At 38.1% G+C, this 24,816-nt stretch overlaps 1 protein-coding gene and 2 pseudogenes across 1 annotated transcript in view; 2 read left to right on the top strand and 1 right to left on the bottom strand.

Moving 5' to 3' along the window:
- Positions 1-24,816, top strand: part of CNTNAP3B (contactin associated protein family member 3B) — a 238,891-nt gene that overhangs the window by 113,738 nt on the left and 100,337 nt on the right. The window contains exons 4-8 of the mRNA NM_001201380.3: positions 2,164-2,311; positions 17,085-17,288; positions 17,937-18,121; positions 19,341-19,484; positions 23,818-24,079. Of these exons, the coding sequence (NP_001188309.2) occupies positions 2,164-2,311; positions 17,085-17,288; positions 17,937-18,121; positions 19,341-19,484; positions 23,818-24,079 (943 nt within the window). The remainder of the gene's footprint in view (positions 1-2,163; positions 2,312-17,084; positions 17,289-17,936; positions 18,122-19,340; positions 19,485-23,817; positions 24,080-24,816) is intronic.
- Positions 4,079-4,339, bottom strand: RN7SL343P (RNA, 7SL, cytoplasmic 343, pseudogene; annotated as a pseudogene).
- On the top strand, positions 20,988-21,610 carry LOC100421691 (NSA2 ribosome biogenesis homolog (S. cerevisiae) pseudogene; annotated as a pseudogene).

Below are 24,816 nucleotides of genomic sequence, written 5' to 3'. Positions count from 1 at the left end.
TCAACCATCTCTACCAACCATGCCAACAATGACCAACCTGGGTCACAGTCACAGCAGCCACCTCCACGCAGGTGGTGGGCTGATTGATTTCCAGGTGTTATCTCAATTAGTACTCTGGCCCTTCAAGATCAGTTTTACAGATGAAGAAACCGCAGCTTGCAGCAGAGTAGCAGGGTTTGAGGTGGTGGAGCTGGGATATGGCTTATTTTATATAGGTCAGCCTGGGCTGTCCAGACAGAAGGTTGTGAGTGCAGAGGTTGTGCAAATATTTACCTGAAGTTTGTATAGCGATTGTTAACTCAAAAAATGTTGATGTACATGACCCTTTAGTTGGAACAAGAGTGAAATGATTATCTCTGGCTGGGCATGGTGGCTTAATGACTGTAATCCTAGCATTTTGGGAGGCCCAGGTGGGCAAATTACTTGAGGCTGGGGGTTCGAAACCAGCCTGGCTAACATGGCAAAACCCCGTCTCTACTAAAAATACAAAAATTAGCCAGGTGTGGTGGCATGCTCTTGGAATGCCAGCTACTGGGCAGGCTGAGGCAGGAGAATTGCTTAAATCTGGGAGGCAGAGGTTGCAGTGAGTCTAGATCGCACCACTGCATTCCAGCCTGGAAGACAAAGTGAGAACCTGTCTCAGAAAAAAAAAAAAAAAAAAAAGGTGAAATGATTCTCTTGGAACTGGCATGAATTAGCAATAGACGAACTGTTACCAAGTCTGACATCAACACTAGCATTTAAAATTGACCACATTCACTAAGGCATTTCCTATATTTTTATTTCCATGTGTTTATACCCAGGGACACCCATTGGTGGTTGGATATGAGGCAGGCTGATCTTTATTCTCTTCGTTTTGTTGTTAAGCCTGGTACATTCTTTTTTTTTTTTTTTTTTTGTGACGGAGTCTACCTCTGTTGCCCAGGCTGGAGTGCAGTGGCACGATCTCGGCTCACTGCAAGCTCCACCTCCCGGGTTCACACCATTCTTCTGCCTCAGCCTCCTGAGTAGCTGGGACTACAGGGGCCCACCACCATGCCCGGCTAATTTTTTTGTATTTTTAGTAGAGACAGGGTTTCACCGTGTTAGCCAGGATGATCTCGATCTCCTGACCTCGTGATCTGTCCGACTTGGCCTCCCAAAGTACTGGGATTACAGGCGTGAGCCAACGCGCTGGCCCTAAGCCTGGTACATTCTTTAGTACAGCAAAATAATTAGGCAGGAGACATTCTTCATTCTTGGTTGAACTAACTGCTGGCCTGTTCCATACATAAATATTAACTATGTGCCCCAGTCATGTTAGGTGATAGCACTTCTAGTGCAAAAGAGCATTAACCCTTTCCTTGTTCTCACACATGCCATATTCTTAAAAATCTGAAAACAATGAAAAAATATCTAAAACAATTTTGTTTGCTTTGCACTCTGATCCTTCCCAATGTTCAGATAGCAAGATGGAGTGAAGAGTGAAAGCCCCTTTGTCCTGGAGCAGATAGTGGCAGTGTGCTCCTCTTGACACCCCCAGGAAGCAGGCCACAGGTGCATGGAGCTGTGTTCACTGTGAAGTGGATTCAGCCTGATAACATGGAATCAATGATGCCATTGAAATAAAAGCCAGATGTAATCCTGCCCACACTCTATGATAGCTGTCCTACATCCAGAGTGTCCTTTCTTCTTCCTAGACTGTAGTTTTTCATTTATAAATTAAGGGTGTGGGGCTGGAATCATGTCTAGGTCCCTTCCAACTCTCTAATTGCAGATTCCAGGATTCTCACTGCAGATCCTTTGCATGTTACCGTGGTGCTCGATTGCCCTGCCATGTGATGTGGCTTTTTGTGAGCATCTTTACCACTTGATTAGGGAGGAATCTGTGGGATAGCATTTTAGAAAAGTGAACTTCATAGAGGTTGCCATGTTTATAGTCATTTTAATGATGTGGATGAAATTTAAACTACCTTGTAAATAAAAAAACGTAGACAATGGTGACGAATTCAGGGACTGGAGAGGTTGTCACATCCTTGTTAACCATTAGCAGTGTTTCCTTTAAAACAGCAGCTTTTTGCATATTAGCAAAGCGAGCATACATTGCTCATTGCCATGAGAGGTGACGACATGAAGATGGTGCATCCTGCAGATACATTGATCCCTTTCTCTGTTTTCTCCTAGGGTTTTCCAGGAAACACAAACGCAGACAGTGTGGTGCACTACAGACTCCAGCCTCCCTTTGAAGCCAGGTTCCTGCGCTTTCTCCCTTTAGCCTGGAACCCCAGGGGCAGGATTGGGATGCGGATCGAAGTGTACGGATGTGCATATAGTAAGTGGCCTTTATTCCCTGTGTGAAATCAAGGTCAGCATGAGATTCTGTCAAAGCCAAACTGTAAAAGCCAATGTCGGCATGAAATGTTGAACTTGACTTTTTCTGTCTTTTTATATAGCTGGGCAAGCAGAACTGGTTTTTATTGAAACACTCTAGTGTCTCCCCATGACAATATGAACTTTAGTTACTGTCTTTTATAGTTGAATTTAGTGGTGGACCTGAACTGAAACTTACCTGTCTTTAGATTCCCAGAGTTTAGCAAAGTACTTGCAATATGGTAGGCATCTGATGAAACGAATACAATTCAAACTAACAACAGATGATGCTGTTTTTCTGAAGCTGAGATGACACGCTGTCTGGGAAAACAGGAGCTGTACTGGGGGCAGGGTGTGATTTCTCGCAATCTCTTGGTTCTCTGTGTTTTTCTCTGCTAACGTCCTCTTTTGCACACCATGCTGTCGCTTCACTTGATCTTCACTTGGTGGGAACCTGTGTTTAGTTAGCCTCTTTTCTCACCTATTCTTTGTTATAAAAGTGGAAAGGATGGGGCCGACATGAATATAACACAAACAAAAAGCCGGCCGTGAGATTATTTGGTGGTACTCAGTGACACAGTTGCCACTTGATGATCTAGAACATACTTGTATTCTTTCTTTACATTATCATAAAAATGTTTTAAATTATTGTCAAAATGGAATAAAATTGAAAAATACTCCTGTATAAAACTGGAGAACAAGTCAAAGAGCAGTCTGGATGGAAATGTCTTAAGTGGCTTCAATTTGGGTCCGGCCGGATGTTCATATCACACTATTTACACACAGTCACTCCCATTCTCTGCCTACTCACAGCTTTAGCCCTGCAGAATATTAATTTTCTAAAGCATGATAACAACGTCTGTCATTCATGCAGCATTTAATGTCTCAGATACTATTATTTCCATTTTATTACATAACCCCTGTACAACCCAGTTCATTTCCTAACTCTGCTTGTTTTTTAGTGTTTACATTTCTACAGGGCTAAATATAATGATGTTGCTTTACCAACGGTCTTTTTTCTTCCTGTTATTGTTCATCTCCTTCCATCCCTGTGTTTTCTGGGACCTATAACTGTGCTCTCTGTTTCAATGGCTAAGATGTCTGATATTTAGAATTTCTCTTTGATGCTGTGAAGTTACCTTCTCCTCTCATTACTCTGAAACAACTTCAGGTTTACTGACTCCAAAGTGGAACATGCTCTTTGATGGCGATTTGCCATTAGCTTGATGTTCCTTCATGAAGAGATATTACTCCAGTTCCTTGGGCTGGAGGTTGGTACCAGGAAGATCAAAGCCCTGTGCCTGATTCCAGGAAGGGCCGGTGGGCGGTGCAGCTGCCATGCAATCTGCTGGCACCGTTAACTTCTGTAAACACATGCTGTTGGCTGTAAGGGACTACTAGTAAAAAAACCCAAACATGCAGACAGATAATATGTGACCACTGCTAACTAGCTAAAAGTAATTCTTTAGAACAAGTGGACATCTACATTGTCTTTTTTTCCTTAGAAGAATAATTGTTCAAGTATGGTGATTTTATTTTTGTTGTTGACAGTAATACAACCCTTTATGACTTATGTTAATAATGGTAGTTTCAGTATTTTCCTTTGTATTTCCACTGCCCTGCTTGTTTTCTAGAACGTTGCTTATAATGACTTATAATATCCCTTCCACGCAGCATCTCTTCCCATTTATTTGTTTATGTATTTATCAATTTATCTTTTTTTATTTTAAGAGGCAAGTTCTCATTATGTTGCCCAGGCTGGAGTGCAGTGGCTACAGGCACAATCCCACTGCTGATCAGCACGGGAGTCTTGACCTGCTTCATTTGGGAGCAGGGCTAGTTCACTCTTCCTTAAGCAACCTGATGGTCCTCCGCTCGGAGAGATCACCATTTGATGCTAAAATTTGTTCAGACACCTGATCATCATAGTGCACCCCTGGGCTCCATCGATCCTCTACCTCAGCCTCCTGAGTAGCTGGGACTGCCCAGCCCTAGTGTTATTAGCTTTTCTACACTTCATTTACAGTAATAGATTCATTATTCCTTTAAACTGTGTGTGTTTTCACAGACTCCTGGCTTACTCTATGCATTTATTTCTATTTCCACTTCTAGCCTGGGGATAGGTTGTAGGTTCTCCCAGAGTTGCTGCTCAACTGCAGAATAAAGCCATGAGCACAGATGGCCTCGGGCCCTTCTTGACAGCTGTATTCTCCTGGTTTTCCATGCACCTTTGCATGCTACTCTTCTTGCCACTCCTTAAAGGCTAACATTATCCACAGATTGGTTGTAGGTCTTTTATCCTGCTCCCAAGCTCTCTCTGAGTCTTTTATCCACTTCCATGAGTTTTCAGTAGCATTTACACACTGTGGCTGATAACTTCCAAATAGACGTATCCGCAACCTACTCTGAGGAGTTCCAACCTCTGGTACCAACCTCTCTTCACTGGCCCTGTGAGCACTTAAAACTCAGTTGTCTATCTGCTCATTTTCCTTTGTTTTCCATCTTATAAAATGATACCAACAGCCACCTATTGACTGAAACCTGATTCTATCTCCTAAATGTTTTGAATTTCTTTCTCTTCCTCCAGTTTAGCCTAAATGAGCACCAGCCTCCTAAATCAGCTATTTGTCTCTGGTCTTGATCTTTCCAGTTTTTAGTCCACACAATAATCAGGATGATTCCTGGAAAAACATGCACATTCGATTGTTCAAACTCGATTGTTGAAACATGCTTAAAGCCACACCCAAGACACTAGGATTGTTTCCCAGAGGCCTTAGACAGAAAAATAAATTCCCTATGCTCTACTGCCTGTCCAGGCCTTTGAGGGCATCTCTCAAGAACAAAGGGGAACTCCCAGAATCTTAGGCCAGAACCCTATAAGTCCTTGACGCATCTATCTCTCTTGCCCTCCATGTCCAGTGAGTCACGAAATTCTGTATTCTTCCCTCCAAATTACACCTTGCATGATTTCAGCTCTCTTTAGCTCTACTACCGACTTAATCTAAACTTGGTGTCCCACAGATTATGGAAATTGCCTTCCAAGTTTGGGTCATTCTGTCTCTGTTCATAGCTGACTACATTATATTCTCCACACTGCAACTCAAGTTACCTTTTAAAAATGCAGAACTGATACAATTACGTCCCTGTTTAATACCATCAGTGGCTTTCCATTGTTCCTAAAACAACATCCAGACTCCCAGCAAGGCCTGAAGGAGCTTGTCCCTGAATAACTCTCCAGTGCCACCTCTTGCTGCCGTCACCTGCTACCTGTCCACTGTCAATTGTATCCAGCTTTTTACTGACTCAAAGCCTTTACGCCTGTGGTCTCCCCTGCTTGAAATGCTCCTTCCCTATGTTCTTGACTGGCTATTTACTCTTCCTCTTTTGGATCTTAGTTTAAATGATGCTTCCTAGGCCCTCACTCTACATTTGGTTCCTCATTATAAGTTCCCAGGAAGCCTATAGTATGACTTCATGTGCTATAGTCACTTTTTATAATGTATCTGTATCTGTCTTATTAGAGGCCTAATTTCCTTTTTCCTCATTAGCCTTCAGGCTACACTAGGGTAAGGTACATTCATTGCTGTAACATCAGCACCTAATACAGAGCCAGGAACATACTAAGTGCACCATAGCTTTGCATTGAGTGAATGAATGAATGAAGCAATTCAGAAAAAAAGTCTGACAGATGATAATAAAATCTGAATAATGAATCTAAATTTCAGATATTTATTTCTCTCTTATACTAGCCATCCAGGTAAGGCAGGTATCTTGGAGATTATATTGTTATAAAGTGTAGTATTAAAAATTGTAATAACTCTAGTAAAAATAGCGAATATAAGGTTTTACAGTTATGTTTCCATTCTTCCATCTGATATTTGATGCATCTTTATGTAGTAGAAAGGCAGTTATTAACACCCAGATGTTCCAAGTGAGCAATCTGAGAAGCCACACCAAGGGCCGGCAGTGCAGGAGCTACAAATAGTCACCAGAGACAGGGAGAGGACTCCAGTCCTCTGACTACCAATTCCATGTTCTTGATGGATAATAACTGCCGAGGTTTCATAAAGGATCATTATATTGATACTTGTTTTGATATATTGCTATATTGATTGATGGCGGCAGCTTCTTTTCTACTTTCAGAGAGACAGCATCAAGCTGCATTGTATTGTATATAAACATTTAGTTTTTGATTCTGTGCCTTCCTCCTTTTTATCATGCCAGCTTTAATTATCCTCAATTTCAGAGTTCTTTAAATCACTCCACTTTCTTTGATATTAATGCAAAAAATAGAACAGTCCTCTTCTTGTTGTTTTCTCAAGTGGTTAGTATCCTTTCCATCTCTTTAATTCCCAGTCCGCTAGTGCAGATTTTAAGGGCTTACATTCCACTCCATGCTAGTGTTTCAGTATTTTCATTAGATAACACTCAAACATGGCTTTTGTCTGATTCATGTTTCTGTTAAACTGAGATTGGGCTTCTATTCCTTTGTAAGTCACGGCAATAATTCATGAAGAAAAAAGAAAATGGTTAGTATTCAAGGTTGACTTCATAAATAACCAAGAAGAGCTTGGTTCACCACTTTTTTGGTCCCTTAGTGGCGGAAAATTTGGTGGGGGAGGGGGTCTGGGAGTGGTGGATTCCTTTTTAAAATTTTAATACTTGGAGCACAGCCGAGATAATTAACAGAATTCTAAAATGTTCTTTTCACGAAGATTTCTTTTATAATGTCCCAAGTGAAAATCATTTTTTATTACTCACAGGTAATTCTTTATTCATGCATTTTCTGTTACATTTTCTTATAACTTAGTCTTCAAATAGTTTTATATGTCATTCAGACTGTCTTACATAGCTATGCTATTACCAATCAGTCCTTTTCTTATTCATCATTCTAGCTTCACTTATAATTGGTTGAACCATATATTTGCCAGTTTTGTAGATCAAATACAGTTGAATATTAGCAGCTTCATCTGGATTAACTGAGTGCTGTACTGTTTTCTGTAGGAACAACAGATGGCAAGTGGAGGTTTCCGGTAAAACAAAACAAATAGAACAAATAGTGACTGGACAAAAGCAAATTTTATTTTCTCCCTTCCAAAATTTTACCTGTCCTTGATTAGAATTTGAGACATGGGAAATTTTCATAACTCCTGAGATGGTCCAAGTTTGTATTTCTTCATTGGTGTTCTAATGAAGTTAGAACTACCTACCTCTGTAAAGTTCCTTTAATTGTTTTATCACTTTTATATATACACGCTGTGCTAGTTTGCATCACTGGCACCAATTCTGCACCTGTTCCTTGCCAGTACGTGTGAGTGGCGTATGCTTCCCTGCCCCCTGATTTTTGAGCCAGCCAGTGACTTCCTTTGGCTAGTGGTAGGCAGAGTCAACTCTACAGTGTACCTACTGTCCTCCTTTGTGTCTACCATTAATAAGCATGCCTGAACTATGAATTCCAGTAAAATGAAAAGAGATACATGCTTTACATATTTTGAAGCTGTTTCATTAAATGCATATAGATTGGGAATTGTTTTATCTCCCTTAAAGTTGATTTTTTGTAATTATGAAATATCCTTGTTTATTTCTAATAATGCCTCCTGCATGTAAGTCTGCATTCTCTGATGATAGTACTGTATAGCTATGCCGGATTTCTTCTGATTAGTGTTTTCATGGAATAACTTTTTCCATTCTTTACTTTCAAACTTTTTGTCTTCATATGTAAGGACTCTTTCTTTATTATTTAAACCGAATCTGGAAATCATTGAGTTTTAGTTGTTATATTTAGTCCACTTATATTAAATGTAATTACTGACATATGTGAAATTGTAGCTGACATGTTACTCTCTGTTTTATATTTGGTTCACTTGTTTTATACTCCTTTTTCTCTCCTCTTCTTTTGGGTTAATCAAGTTTAATTTTTCCAGTTTTTCCACTATTGTTTGCTGTTCTAATTTTGTTCCCCCAGGTACTTGAGCTACTACTTTTATCACTTTCCAAACAATCCTAGGATGTAAGTACAACTTATGTTAGTTTAGTTAAACTCTTCCCACCATGTGTGCTATGTTGACACATTTTAGTTTCATACATACATGTGTATATGTGTACATATATTTTTAATCACAAAATTTAATATAATTTTGTTTGCAATCAGTATTCACTTGAATCTACTCACATATTTACTTTCTCTGCATTTTCATGCTCTTTCTGAATCAAATTCTTTCAGCTAGAAAGACTCCTTTTAATATTTGTCTTAGCCCAGTTCTACTGGTAATAAATTGTCATATAGCTTTTGTTTGCTTGAAAATTGTCTTTATTTTATGTGAACTTCTGAAGGCTGTTTCAGCTTGCTGGAGAATACGGTCTGTAGTTATTTTCTTTCGGCCTTTTAAAGATGGCATTCTATTGTTTTCATGATATTTATTAAGAAATCAATAGGTAATTGATTTTTATCCTATAAGGGAAATGTGTATTTTTCTTCTGGTTACTTTTGAGAATTTATTCTTTGTCTTTGATTTTCAGCAGTTTTGCCTTGATGTGGCTATTTTAGTTTTCACTGAATTTGTCCTCTTTGGATTTCACTAAATTTCTTTTTTCTGTGCATTGATTATTAGATTGGGTAATTCTTCACTGTTACTTCTTCAAAATATTGCCTCTGTCTCGCATTTCCTTTCCTCCTTTCTGAGACTCCAATTACATCTGTCTGAGATGTTTGTATCTTATTTTCTTTCTTTGTCTCTCTCTTTCTCCCTCCTCCTGCTTCTCTCTCTCCCTCTCCTCTTTCATCTTTTCTTTCTATTTATGCTGCAGTCTAGACATTGTGTACTGCTTTATCTTCTATACTACTAATCAGATCTTCTGCTGTGACCAATCTGTTGTTGAATATGCCAGTGAGCTATTAATTTTAGTTATTGCGATTTTCAGTTTGGGAATTTCTGTTCATGTATCCTAGTGAAACTCCTTATCTTGCTCTCTATTTTCCTGGAAATATTAATTACAGTTATTTTAAAGATTTTTCGTTAACTTCAATATCTGGATTATCTCTTGATCTTTTCCATTGTCTGGTTTTTGTTTCCGTTTTGATGTCTGATAATTTTGGCTGAATTCTGGACATGTTGGACAGAAATTTGTAGAGGCTAGAGAAGACAAAGTGATCCCCCAGTGAATCCCCACCACAGCCTCTGATAGGCTTCTAGGTTAGGCACAGTTGTTAATTCAAATCAGCATTTAACTGACTCAGTGCAGCGTCTCAGTCCCCATGAGACCTAGTTGATATCTTATATCTGGAGTACAGTGCTTCACTAGTCCCAACTGAGATTTGAAGGCCTTTGCCAAAACATTTTTTTGAAAATCTCTGAATTCTGCCATCTGACTCCTAATTGTGATGAGTCTACAGAGACCCCTGCTTCGTGACCCAGCCTCATAGCTGTCCTGTCACTTTCTGCTTGGCCACCTTGTCTCTTGCCCATTGCTCCTTGGGAGTTGACCAGTGCTTCAAGGGTAAAAGCAGAAAGAGTGTTCTGAGCTTGTCTTCTAAGATCTTTACATTCTTGAGTCCTGGCAGTCATAGTAGATCTTTAAAACTTTCAAGAAGATTATTTAAACTTTACTTGGTACACATTTTCTACTTGTCCTTGGTAGGAAGTGTAGTCTTCTGAATGTTTGCTTGTCATAACTGAAAATATAACTAACTGCATTTCTTTTAATGCCATGGGAAATGTATTGAAGAAAACAAAGTGTATATAATTTTTTCATATAATAATGTGTTTATAATACAATCTACTTAATATTTTGGAAAATTATTTTTCTGTAAAACACTGAAGTGCTAATTAAATTTCAATAAATATTTTTTAAAAATAAATAAAGCCGGTCACAGTGGCTCATGCCTGTAATCCCAGGACTTTAGGAGGCCAAGGCAGGCAGATTACTTGATTGCCCAGTCTGGGCAACACAGCAAAACTCCATCTCTACAAAAAATACAAAAATTATCTGGACATGGTGATGTGTGCCTGTAGTCCCAGCTACTCAGTAGGCTGAGGTGTGAGGGTCGCTTGATCCCAGTGAGGTCAAGGCTGCAGTGAGCCAAGATCATGCCACTGTACTCCAGCCTGCGTGGCAGAGTGAGACCTTGTCTCAAAAAAAATAAAAATTTGTAATAAAAAAGTAAAATAAATAGAAACTCAAAATAAGATGAAAAAGTAAATCCATGTCCATCAGAAATAAGTAAGTTGAAGAATTGGAATGTGAACCTACTCACAGAGGATTCCAGACTCTGTGCAATCAACTATCTTTACCAGGAAATGGGAGAAGGAGAAAAGAGAGAGGAAAGAAAAGAAATAGAGAGGAAAGATCATGCATGAAAATTAAAGATAGAGATCAAGGCCTTTACTGAGAATGCAGAACCAAGGCCTGTTTTCCCTAAGTTCCTCTTATTATGCCCAGAAGGAAAGAAAATATGTGAGTGAATAAAGGCAAATATTTCCTAGGAAAGCTTTGTGTATTCATCGATTGCAGGATTCAATATTCTTATCATCCTCCCCGAATTGATCTACAGAATCCCAATACATCTATTCTAACTTATTATTATATTAAAATGAATCGTCACTAGTCTTTAGAGAAATAAAATCACAATGAGAAACCACTATACACCTAGCAGAAAGGCTAAAATTAAAAAGGGTGGAAACACCAAGTGTTTGGCAAAGATATGGAATTCTCATACATTGCTGGTGGGAAATGTGAAAATGATACTATCACTTTGGAAAACAATTTGGCATTCTTCTAAGCTAAATATACACTTAATATATAGCTCAGCAATTCCACTCCCATGTATTTACCCAGCAGAAATGAATGCATATGTCAACATAAAGATGTATGTGTGAATGTTCCTAGCAGCTTTATTTATAAGAGTTTAAACCTGGAAACAGTTCAAATGTCTATCAGCAGGTAAATGGATAAACAAGTTGTCAAACAGTTGAATACCCCAAGCAATAAGAAAGAACAGACTGTTGATATATGCAACAGCATGTGTGTATCTCAAAAATGTTACACTTAGCAAGGAACTCAGACACAAAAGAACACATACACGATACAATTTTATGAAATTTTGGAACTGACAAAACTAATCTGTAGTTACGGAATGTAGATCATTGGTTTCCTGGGTCTGGGTCTGGGTCTCGGTGACAGTGTTGGGAGTTTGATGCAAATGGCAATTAGTGAGTTGATATGAAATTGCCTACACCTTGATTCTTTGGCAATAACGTAGGTATATATATTTGTTAAAACTCATTGAACTATAACCTTAAATTTATTGAATATAAATTATAACTCTATGAAAATGATATTCATGTTTCCATATTGGCAATTGTGGGTTTTGTTGTTGTTTTTTTGAGAGGGAGTCTCTCTCTGTTGCCCAGGCTGGAGTGCAGTGGAGCAATCCTGGCTCACTGCAACCTCTGCCTCCTGGGTTCAAGCTATTCTCCCACCTCAGCCTCCTGAGTAGCTGAGATCACAGGCATGCACCACTACACCCAGCTGATTTTTTTGTATTTTTAGTAGAAATTTTACCATGTTGCCCAGGCTGGTCTTGAACTCCTGACCTCAAATGATCCACCTGCCTTTGCCTCCTAAAGTGCTAGGATTACAGTGTGAGCCACTGTGCCTCACCCCATATTGGAATTAATATTCAATTTATTTAGAGAGTAAACCTCTGTAATTTGCCCATTATCCCTGATAAATCATCCTGAAGCCTTTGTGTCATCACAGCTACCTAGTTAGCTTATTAAATATGCAAACCCCTGGGTCTCAACCACAGAAATCCTGATTCCTGGTCTGGTTGAGGCTCACGTTCTAAAGTCTCCAAGTGGTCACTCCTAGTCAATCTGAGTGAAGGTGATTGATAGAACACTTTAAGAAAATTTCTGTGGAATCGTGTTTTTTTTTTTTTCTTTTGTAAGACATCAGTGTTTGCACCCTATGGAATCTTGCTGTTTTCAAGCAATGTTTTCCTCTCAATGTTGATGTTTCCCCTGAAAAGGCAGTACAAGGTAGGATGGGGATGAGACATGCCTGTGCTTAGAATGACAGTGAGAAGTAGAAAAGTAGTAATGAGAAGCCAGATTTAAGAGTACATTCTGGGTGTGAAAAATGTGAAAGTAGGCCAGGCGGGGTGGCTTATGCCTGTAATCCCAGCACTTTGTGAAGCTGAGGTGGGCAGATTGCTTGAGCCCAGGAATTCAAGACCAGCCTTGGCATCATAGTGAGACCCCCATCTCTAGAAAAAAAGTAAAAAATTAACCAGGCATTGTAGTGCATGCCTATAATCCCAGCTACTTGGGAGGCTGAGGCTGGAGGATCACTTGAGCCCAGGAGTTCAAGGCTGCAGTGAGCTATGAAGGTACCACTGCACTACAGCATGGGCAACGGAGTGAGTCTCTGTTTCTAATAAAAGTAAAATGTGAAGATAAAATATGGCGTAAGGAAATAAAGGAAATAGCAACTCAAAATTACTTATGTCTTAGCTTTTCAGAAGCGTCATACTTTGCAGGAGTCTAAAGAAGGTAGACTCCTTCCTTATCCTTTCTTAGAAGTCATTCTGGACCAGATGCCTGTTTACAGAAGCATCACTGTGAATGTGGCAGAAACAATCATATTTCAGGATTATATGTCCTCTTTTCCATACTGTGGGATCCTTAAAAGTAATTCATTGTCTTCTGCATTTTTATCTTTCACCTGCATATGGAAGGCTTTCAGTGAATATTAGCTGTATGAATGAGGACATAACACATTTTAGCAAAATTACTTCTGACACAGTTCTTCCTTGTATGACAAAGTTCTTTATCTGCAAGAATTCGTATTTGGGAACTTTGTGAACATATCTGTCCTTAGTTTTTCCGGTATTCTTTGAGGAAGTGTGACAAAAACATTATAATTGCACCAATAATCTTCAAGTATCATTTAAAAACTCTCGTGGTCCTCTAACACAAGAAAATGAGATAGATATATTAATACTTCTGAGTAAGATTTAGGTTACCAGTGATTGAAGTGAGTCAGCCCAGGAACAAGCTGGCTGGCAGAGAAGGAGCTGTGTAAGTGTGGATGAATGGTTGTAAATCTCTTTTTCCTGGTGGAAACTGAAGATTTCCTAGGTCCTTCAAAAATTAAATCTGCTATCATTTTAAGCTGTCTACTTTCCTATATATCCCCTATGTGCTATTTTAAACTCATTTCCACCTCTTTTTCTGCCCAGTGCCCTGACAATAATAATGAAGCAGTCGTTCACTGAAGGTACCCCATGTGCCCAGCACTGTTGTAAAAGTACAAATACTAACTCATTTAACCCTCACAACGATCTTGTGAGAGAGGAGTGTATGTGTTCTCACTTCACTTATGAGTAGACTGAGGCAGAGAGAGGCTATGTAACTTTTCCAGGATGGAGTCAGGATTCAAGCCCACACAGTATATACTCTAGTGTACTAGAAAATGTGGCTCCTGATCTAATGGTGACAGACTAACGTGTCAGGGGTCCACATTGCTAATACTGATCGAGATTCAGCAATCAAAACTATAATCTTAATTAATAAAGCTAATAATTATAAACTAAATTCATATAAAATTAGAAAAGCACTTCCTGCTTTAAACCACAAGCTAAGTTTTCTTTATTCATTTTGGATAGCAAGGCTTTTATTCTGAAAACTTTGAGGAACGTTGGATTTTATCGTAAACATAATAAGTGACATTAATTTTCCAGTATCCCACTACATTTCCTATTTATATAATTGAATTTCATACAAAGGATTTTTTCCAACAGATTTCTGAGAAAAGATTATATTAAATGTGTTACTGGAATTATTTTATTTTAGTGTATTATTCAAATATATATTGTAGGGGAATATTTGCATTGATTATGGCTAGGTAGAACTGTTTTTTTCTTGAAATGGGGTCTTGCTGTGTTGCCCAGGCTGGGGTGCAGTGACACAAGCACTGCTCACTGCAGCCTCCACCTCCCGAGCTCAAGCGATCCTCCCACCTCCCCCTTCCAAGTAGCTGGGAATATAAGCAAGTGCGACCAGTCTTGCCATGCTGCCCAGGCTGGTCTCGAACTCTTGGGCCCAAGTGATCTGCCCGCGTCAGCCTCCCAAAGGGCTGGGATTACAAGCATGAGCCACTGCACCTGACCAGCTGGGAGAACTTTTCTTTGCTCTTGCAAGTGTTTTAAAATGCTAAAAGTATGACTTTTGTGGACAAGTGAGAAGAGAGTTTACCTTTTAGCATTACTTCTAAAGACCAAGACTTGAAATTTTGCTTCTCCAGTGGGAGGATCTTATTCAAGAGGGACTACATGGGAGTTGTCCCTCTCCAGTGCTGATCTTGGTGGGCTCATTACTGTTGACTTATTGAACTCAATGCTTTCCATCCCAAACATCATTTTTTGTTTCATATTTTTATGTATTGACTTCATAAATCATAGAATGTTTTATGATTTTTAGAAAGTTTGGATTTACAATTCATTAATCTGCTTTTATTTTAAAATATGCATAATGAGCTATAAGTATATTCTTAAATTTCTAGATACAAGCACTAGCGATTACAATAAAGAAAAAATCAAGGTATTAGCTAAAGAACAAAAGAGTTTCAAGGTCATTGCTTTATGTCTCTTTTACTTGATAAGTTTTTTACTATTCTATTTGCCTGAGGGAAACATTCCAGGAACTGTACTTCACATGCCTTAGAAGACCAATACTGCTGTTGGAGAGTAATAGTAAACATAGAATGAGAAAAAGAAATGTATAGGTTGCAATAATCCAGAAAAAACCTTTTCGGGAAGAAAACTTTGTTAGTCAACTAAAAAAAAATAGCTCAAATATTAGCATTTTCTTTAAGCAACAAATAAAGACATGATTATAAGTATAAGGGAAGTGCTAAAAATGTGAAAGTCTGTAGTCAATCTTTTTCAAGTTTCCCTTAGTTCATGGCCAGGGAATAATAATCTTAGATGTCTTCATTTACATTTGACAGAGAGTTTTGTTTTTATCATGAACACATAATAAGTTATGTAACAAGGAATAATTGTTTAATTTACACATATTTTACTCAGAATGTGCTTATTCATCATGCACTTGATACATTAATTCCTTGTAAGTACATTAACCCAATGTGAGAAAATCAAACTTCTAAATTTTAAAATGATACATAAAATGGAGAACTTTTGAAGTGCAGTTTACTATATGTATTTCAGATACTGTGAATGAAATGGATAGCCATGCAAAAAGTACTAGTAATATTTTTGTGAAATTAAATATAATTAAACAATGCCATCTTATTGGCTTGAATGACATCAGCTCATCAGCTTCAAATAGTTTCATATTTCACTAGGTTTTCATGCATCTTCATTTATTAAATAAATATATTTTTCAAAGGACAATTGCTTATTTTTCTTTTTACTTTTAAAAAGAAGAGATTTTCTGGGTAATATTAATTTCTTCATGTGATTTTGACAAATATTATCAAATATTATTTTATATTACTGATAAAATGAAACAACTTGTTTTTTGATGAGCTGAACATATGTGACATTTATAGTGAATTTATAAGACCCTGACAGAGTGCTGAGAGAGTGTGGCAGCATTGGAGTTCTGACAAGCTACAGCAGGAAGAACCAAAACAGAGGTGTTAAGGCCATGCTCTCTCAACAAAGCATCCAAGAAAACAAAACCTCTGTGCCTTTGTCAGTCAGGGCTCTCCAGAGAAACAGAACCAATAGGATGTCTGTGTGCCTGTGTGTGTGTGTGTGTGTGTATGTGTGTGTGTGTGTAGAGAGAGAGAGAGAGTTTTAAGGAATTGGCTTACCTGATTGTAAGGACTGGCAAGTCCTAGGTAAGAGGTGATATTGCAGCTGGAGTCCAGAGGTTGTCTGGAGGCAAAATTCCTTCTTTCCTAGAGAACTTCAGTTTTCTTTCTTTCTCTTACAGCCTTCAACTGATTGGATGAGGCCCACCCACGTTATAGAGTTTAACCTGCTTTACTCAATGTTTACTGATTTAATATTGGTTACCTCTAAAAAATACCTGCACTGCAACATCAAGACTAGTGTTTGACCAAAAGCTGTTTACCATGGCCTAGCCAAGTTGACACATTGCAGTGCCCATTAGCAGTACCATTAGCTGAGGGTTGAGAAAAATATTACATGTCAGCTCATTTAAAATACATTTATTACATGTCTAAAGCAGTAATTAATAAGTATGATATGTGTTTCTGTATCTTTACAGACAAAATCTTTAGTAAAGTAGGTACATGTGTAAGAATTAAGAGAAGCCAAAGCTACTGGGAATGAACAAAGGTATTTAAATTGAGTGACACTGATATTTAATATAAGAGTGACCTTAAAATAAATAATTTATGTAGTGAAATATGACTTCTTTCCTGAGTGTTTTTAATCAAACAGAATGAGAAGAAATGGGCTGCTCTAAAGATAAGAGCCATTGGGAGTAGATTAATAAAAGCATTTCTAGATGATGAAGTTTGAGAAAATGTTAGAAAAATCTAACAGTGGGTATTACATATATCAACTCCTGATGCCACCAGAAAATATATTATTGTCAGTTGTTTCCTTCAGTGAATGGCTTAGAAATACAATGTGTGTCTATGTGTGTGTGGTGTGGCATATGGATGCACACATTTTCAATGTGCTACTGTATGGCATATTTATATTTAGAATTGCTTTTTAATATCTTCTTTCCTAGAATCTGAGGTGGTTTATTTTGATGGACAAAGTGCTCTGCTGTATACACTTGATAAAAAACCTTTAAAACCAATAAGAGATGTTATTTCTTTGAAATTTAAAGCCATGCAGAGCAATGGAATTCTACTTCACAGAGAAGGACAACATGGAAATCACATTACTCTGGAATTAATTAAAGGAAAGCTTGTCTTTTTTCTTAATTCAGGTAAAAAAATACTTGAACTTTATACCAGTAGTTAAAAAAAATCTGTTTACATTTGTTGGTACTCAGTCTTTTCACAGTTAGATAAAATGACCATATAATTCATCATCTAAACCAGAACACCTTTAAGAAATAAAAAATACACAAGTGATAGTTACTCTGGGACAGTAAGTGCAAAGTAGAACTGCAATGAACAAATGTAAATGAAAGTTTAAGAGCATTACTACCAGATGCATGCAATACATATCCTAAGTATGATTTCTGTAAACAGCATATATTTTGACAAACTGTGCAAGATCACCATATGTGTGTATAATATATATGTAATATATGATTATCCATATCATAAAGACAATACATCATTATAAAATTATGAGATAATGCTGATAATGAGGTTCTAAGAAAGAAAATATTTGCAATGTAAATCCAAATGTCATGAGTAATAGAAAAAATACTAAGAAAAATTTCAACAAAGTGTAGAATTGAACTTAAAAAAATAAAAACAGGGTAAGGTTATTGTGTTCAAGATAGGGAGAAAGTGAGAAAACAACTCTGTAAGATGGAAAGTTGGATGCAAACTGTGATGCTCAACTAAAAAAGGGAAGCCGTGATTTTGAACAGAAATAACTGTTTTTTTCCTTCTCCTTTAAGGCAATGCTAAGCTGCCTTCTACTATTGCTCCTGTGACCCTCACCCTGGGCAGCCTGCTGGATGACCAGCACTGGCATTCCGTCCTCATCGAGCTCCTCGACACGCAGGTCAACTTCACCGTGGACAAACACACTCATCATTTCCAAGCAAAGGGAGATTCCAGTAACTTGGATCTTAATTTTGAGGTTATTATAGATATATAGTTTAAATTAAATATAACCTGAAAAATAAGGTAGCTGCATAGAGAAATGCCATTTTATAGTAATTCATAACTAAGTTGACTAATAGTAATAGGTATGTCTGTCCCGGTACTATGAAACTGTTTATGCCTTCTAATAGGTCAGTTTATTATAATAGATCATCTTTTCCACCTTGAAAAGAAGTAAACAGTCAGTGTTAGGTTTAGGAAATCCACAAATGCAGAAATACCAAGGTAGCAAGCATTGTTATTAAATGTACTCATTTGAATATATTTCATTTGAAATTTCATCTGGTATATTACACTTGTTGTTTGACTATGCAGATTCCTGGGGGATTTTTTTTCTTGTCTTGGTGCAATCCTAACCAACATAGCATTATTTAGGATCACTTTGAGAAGTTAACAAGATAAACACCAATAGATTTATTAAATAACAAGAAAGTCAGATGCTCACATATAAATAATATCCTGATATTTTTTAAGTCATTAATGCTTTTTGCAACCCATTGCCCATATGTATCTAAGCTACACTGTTAAATAGCATCTATTCTTCCAGTCCTTCACAGGACACCTTAAAGTGTATGAAGGATCAGAACAAACCAGAAAAACTGTGATATTTACTGGCATAAGTGGCTTTGGCATATAATATTAAACTGAAGATCCTAGTCCTATACTGGATTATTCAGTTTTATTACTTTAATTTAACCATGTAATAGCAAAAGATAATATCTAATGCAGAGGTTGGCAAACTGGGCATCAGGCCAAGTTTGGACATTTTTTAATTAAAAAAATACAAAGCCTGTTTTTGTTCAAAAGAGAAGGTTTTATTGGAACATATTCTCTTTCTTTATGTGTTGTCCGTGGCCACATTGGTACTTCGTGTCAGAGTTGAGTGCTGCAAAAGAGATCATATGACCCACAAAGGGTAAATTTAACTACATGGCTGAAAATTTCAACGTGGCAGAAAATGTGTGTTGACTTCTTCCTTTTAAGTTTGTTCAAAACTGTGTGGTGCCAGAAATAAAGGTATTAACAGCTGCCATTATGATAGAACACTTCATTTGGAATAAGCAAGCATGCAAATATAAGATAATGGGAATGGATTTGTGACAATTAGTACTAGACCTATTAATTTATAAATGCTTTAAACACGTACCATCAGAAAATCACTAAACAATGTTATTTATGTCATTTTTCTTTCTAAGATCAGCTTTGGGGGAATTCTGTCACCCGGAAGATCACGGGCATTCACACGTAAAAGCTTTCATGGGTGTTTAGAAAATCTTTATTATAATGGAGTGGATGTTACCGAATTAGCCAAGAAACACAAACCACAGATCCTCATGATGGTAAGGAAGCCTAATGGGAAGGAAAGAAAAAAGGACATTTTATTTTTTGCATTTAAAAATTATTCATGTGAAGTCTCCATTTCATCTAATATTTTAAGAATCAGTTCTTACTTTAACAGCTGCCCATGTAATATAGTAATTTAGTTTTATTTATTTATTTATTTTTTTGAGACAGAGTCTCTCTCTTGTCTCCCAGGTTGGAGTGCAGCGGCGCAATCTCAGCTTACTGCAGCTTACGCCTCCCAGGTTCAAGCAATTCTCCTGCCTCAGCCTCCTGAGTAGCTGGGATTACAGGCGCCCGCCACCATGCCCAGCTAATTTTTGTACTTTTAGTAGAGACGGGGTTTCGCCATGTTGGCCAGGCTAGTCTCGAATTCCTGACCTCAGGTGATCTGCCTGCCTCGGCCTTCCAAAGTGCTGGGATTACAGGTGTGAGCCACCGGGCCTGGCCAATTTTTTTTTTTTTTTTTTTTTGAGACGGAGTCTCACTCTGTCACCCAGACTGGAGTGCAGTGTCACGATCTTGGCTCACTGCAAGCTCTGCCTCCTGGGTTCACGCCATTCTCCCGCCTCAGCCTCCCGAGTACCTGGGACTACAGGTGCCCACCAGCATGCCCGGCTTTTTGTATTTTTAGTAGAGACGGGGTTTCACCATGTTAGCCAGGATGGTCTCGATTTCCCAACCTCGTGATCTGCCCACCTTGGCCTCCCAAAGTGATAGGACCACAGGCGCACTTTTTTTGTTTTTGTTTTTGTTTTTGTTTTGAGATGCAGTCTTGCTCTGTTGCCCAGGCTGGAGTGCAGCGGTACAGTCTTGGCTCACTGCAACCTCTGCCTCCTGGGTTCAAGCCATTCTCCTGCCTCAGCCTCCTGAGTAGCTGGGACTACAGGTGTGTGCCACCACACCTGGCTAATTTTTTTTAGTACAGACAGGGTTTTGCCACATTGGCCAGGCTGGTCTCAAACTCCTGACCTCAGACGATACACTCGCCTCGGCCTCCCAAAATGCTGGGATTACAGGCATGAGCCACCTTACCCAGCCTAATATAGTAATTTTTATTATGCATAAAAAGTTATAAAGTAAATATGCCTCATGGGACATCATTGTTTCATTTTTATATGAAATAAAGTAACTTTCTATTTTTACATGGAAATCAGAATTCATATGTCTCACGTGTTTTTGGTGTTGTTATCCACAGGAGACCAATCATTTTGCAATGGCAGTCCCTAATGATCTATTCCCTAATCAACTGGAAATACTTCCAAATCAGTTAATAAACTTCTTTCAATGTTTAAAGTTTGAAATATCTAAGTTGGGTTAAAGGGAAAGCTCATGTTTAGTTGTCAGTGTATCTCAGCAGCACATCATGGGAATATTTATTTGTATTGTTGGAAACATGTTTTCTTTCCTGTTATGTGCTGGAGGAGTTGGCTCATGGGTTGCAGGACCAAAACCTGAAAATATCTCTGACTGTGTGTCACCAGACCACACAATGAATACATCACTTAGGTTAGCATGAGAAAAGGGGAAAAACAGCTGTGAAGCCCATGAACTTTCCAAGAAGGTAAAGGAGAAAAAAAAAAAAAAGTTGGGTTTGAAGTCTAAGTTTTACTATGAACAGCACCCTGCTGAGATCATAAAAATGAAAAATACCATCAAGATACATGAAAAAGGAAACACCAAAGGGAAGAGTGATAACAAGGCTCCACAGAGCGCAGTTTCCTTTGACAAGATGAAAAAGAAATGAAAAGAGGAAGGAGATAAATGGAACAGCCCTCTACCTAAAGTTTCTGTCCATGGAGAAACTGACATTTAAGTGCTGCTCAACAGGAAAAAGAAAAAAGACCTGGTTATTGAAGTTGGCTTTGTTGGAGATGCGTTACTCAGATACAGATACAAAGATGGGTTTGGCCAATGGGCATCCGTGTCAAGAAGCCTGACCTAACACGTTCTGAATATTAAGCTACCTTTTATCTGCCAGTCCTTGGTGTTCAGAAGAATCCCTCCTCCTCACCCTAACTTCTATGGGGCTATTTCCAAAGACACTGTCATTGAAGTGAGGAAGAGTGAGTTGGGCCTTATGACACAAAGAGACAAGACTATTTGAGGACAATAGACACAGGTTTTCATATACATTCCATGTTATTCTGAATTACTGATGGGTTCGCTGATGGAATTATTGAGTATAGCCAATAAGGAGAACCACAGTTAAGCTGGTGTCTCTGGGTTCTGGATATCATCCTCAAGAAAACTATTTACTAATTACATTGAATGAGGTTATTAAAATGTGTAAGTTTCACACAAAAACAAAAAGACAATTCATTCCAAATTGTGCATATGGATATATAATGTTAATTATGGGAATTCCATTTTAAGAATTACTACAATTCTATGTGTTCTGTATAAAAACAGGAAAATAGTTGTTCCAATATATAAAAGGAAAACATTTAAAAATGTATTTTCTTGGGAAAATCAGCTGCCAGAATTCATTAGTCAACTAACAAGCACTCCTCTGTGGCAAGAAGCCCTGCTTCTCTGTTGTAGCAGGCAGCTACCCACCTAAATGATGAGGTCAAGAAATATACAGCTGATAAAAAGATAAAAAATATGTAATAGTCCAGTGATTACATGTGTACTACGGATCAGCGCCAATTAGTTGTAAGCTTTTGGTATTTAGTTCGTTACAGCAAATGTTTTCTTTTTTAAATTTTCTTCTGCAAATGTTTTCTTGTCATGAAAAGTGTTTTCCGTTTAGCAGAATTACAAAAATAGTCAAGAAGAAATGTTCTGATTGATGTATACAGTTAGAATGTGTATTAAAGATTATTATAAAATGATAACTGAATTATATCCATTTCTAAAGTATGTTGGGACAAAATTTTTTAAAAATGTGATTCTGTTTTGAAAATTGTTTTACCACTGGATCAGTGTGGTTCTTAAACTTGGCTTTATCTTGGAGTCACCAGAGGAGATTCAAAAGATACCTTTACCTGGCTCCACCTCCAGAGATCGGGATTTTAAATGGTCTGTATCTGGATTTTAAGAGCCCTTCTGGTGATTCGACTGTTTAGCTAGGTTTGAGAGCCACTACCCTAGATGAGCTGTCCTGCTCCAGTAACATTCTTTTTCTAAAATCTTTTATAGTATATTAGAAATAAATCCATGGAAATTCCAAGTAAAATCAGAATTACTGTGGTTTTTCTCTGGAACTGAAATTCCTATGTGTGAATAATGCCCAAGAATTGCTTATTCCTTTCACCAGCCAAACAAAGCAAAACAAACAAACAAACAAAAACCATTTAAAAACCTAGTAAGATGTTGACTTACCAGATATTAAAGCATGCTAAAAGCTTCTATACTAGAATCAGTATGGTAATGGATAGGAACAGAGAAGTCAGTAGAACAGTCAAGATCTCAGAAAGATCCCAGTTTATGTGCAAAGTTGTTAGTAACAAGGAATGTGGCTCAATTCAGTGGAACAGGGATGAATTATTTCTGAAATTCTGCCGGAACAAACAAGTGTCCATAAGGCAGAAAATAAGCATGATCACTATCTTATACACACTAAGAATATGTAAATTAAAGAGGATGAGAAACAAACAACAATCTTAAAGAAAATCTATGAGGTTGTATGTAGGACCTAGGGTAGTATGAAACTTTCTTAACAAAGATTGGAAACTCAGAAGCTGTAAAATACAATATAGACATAATTGACTATATAAAAACATCAATGTTTTCATGCTAAAAATACTATATGCAAACATTGTATATAACTATTAGATCTGAAAACCATTTGAAAGGCTGTCAAATATAACTTTCCAACAGCTAAAAATATGACCAATACAAATATCAAATAAGCATGTGTCAAAGATTTAGTCAATTCGTTAATGAGGGAACCAGTAAAATAGTAAGCTGGTTCAATAGAGATTTTGAGGATTGTGTAGAGAAGACCAAATGTTGCTCAGGAGAAAGACTGAGTATGAAAATGTCCTGTTATTTGCTGTATCCTCAGGGCTAGCACAGGGCCTGGAAAATAGCTGGCATAGATTAAACTCCTGTTGAACTAAAATTATATTGAGACTCCTTTACTAATGCTGAGAAGTAGAGAAGTGGAGAATTTCTCACACACATACAGAAAGCCACATGGATATCTGCCCAATTATAATAATACTTATGTTGAAAGAGAAGATAAATGTCATAGATTTCAGCTTTAGCAGGCAGACTAATCCTGGATTGATAAAAAGCCTTGTACGTCTTCGTAAAATCTGGCTTTAATTAGATAGAAGCACCACCTGTAAGGCTGCTCAATGTGCTCTTTTGTTTTATTTATAGGGAAATGTGTCCTTCTCATGTCCACAGCCACAGACTGTCCCTGTGACTTTTCTGAGCTCCAGGAGTTATCTGGCTCTGCCAGGCAACTCTGGGGAGGACAAAGTGTCTGTCACTTTTCAATTTCGAACGTGGAACAGAGCAGGACATTTGCTTTTCGGCGAACTTCAACGTGGTTCAGGGAGTTTCGTCCTCTTTCTTAAGGATGGCAAGCTCAAACTGAGTCTCTTCCAGGCGGGACAGTCACCAAGGAATGTCACAGCAGGTAAGAGTTGTATTCCCATAAACCTGACATATCCACACGGAAATCATTTGGTAATTAGTGAGTGAGTGAGGCAGTGAGATGCTCCATGCCCCCACTAGAGGAACAGATTGCTGCTTCCTTTTAGACTGTTCTGTGTGGTACACCCCGCTGCCACTAAAGTGTTCTTTTGACCAAAATGACTATATATGAGAAATATGAAATGCATATTTCTGCAGATGTACCTTCCCATATACAAGGAATACCCTTGAGCTCCATTTCCTGACAAACATATACCAGCCTCCATCCCAAAGAACTAGGGTCAGGACCTCATGGAACAGACAATACCTAGAGGCACATTCCTCTCCTGTCCTCCTTCTCCTTTCCCTTCTCCGCCCTGCCGCTCAGGGTCTGTGCACAAATATTCTATACACAGTAGTCAATTGATAACTATCACTTTACAGGGAAAGATGCCCGGCAAATACCAAGAGTTCTTATTCTTTCGTTGATGGCTGATTCGTTTTCTGGGATAGCCGGGCACCCTGGAAGAATCTCAGCTCCTCCACTTACTGCCCTTCTGAAATGTAAATCACGAAGCCTCCTAAGCCTCAGCTGTTTTCACTTGTGAAGTGGTAAACCTCAGATCTCCTTTGCAGGGAGAACAATAGGAAGTCTGATTTTATTAGCACAATGTCCACCCCACACACAGGCCCTCACATCCCCACTCCCCATCAGGGCCTGTTTTTGTTGGGCAAATGCTA

The sequence above is a fragment of the Homo sapiens genome, chromosome 9 (genome assembly GCF_000001405.40).
Source record: "Homo sapiens chromosome 9, GRCh38.p14 Primary Assembly".
NCBI classification, from domain to species: Eukaryota; Metazoa; Chordata; class Mammalia; order Primates; family Hominidae; genus Homo; species Homo sapiens.
This window is presented reverse-complemented; position numbering and strand designations above follow the sequence as displayed.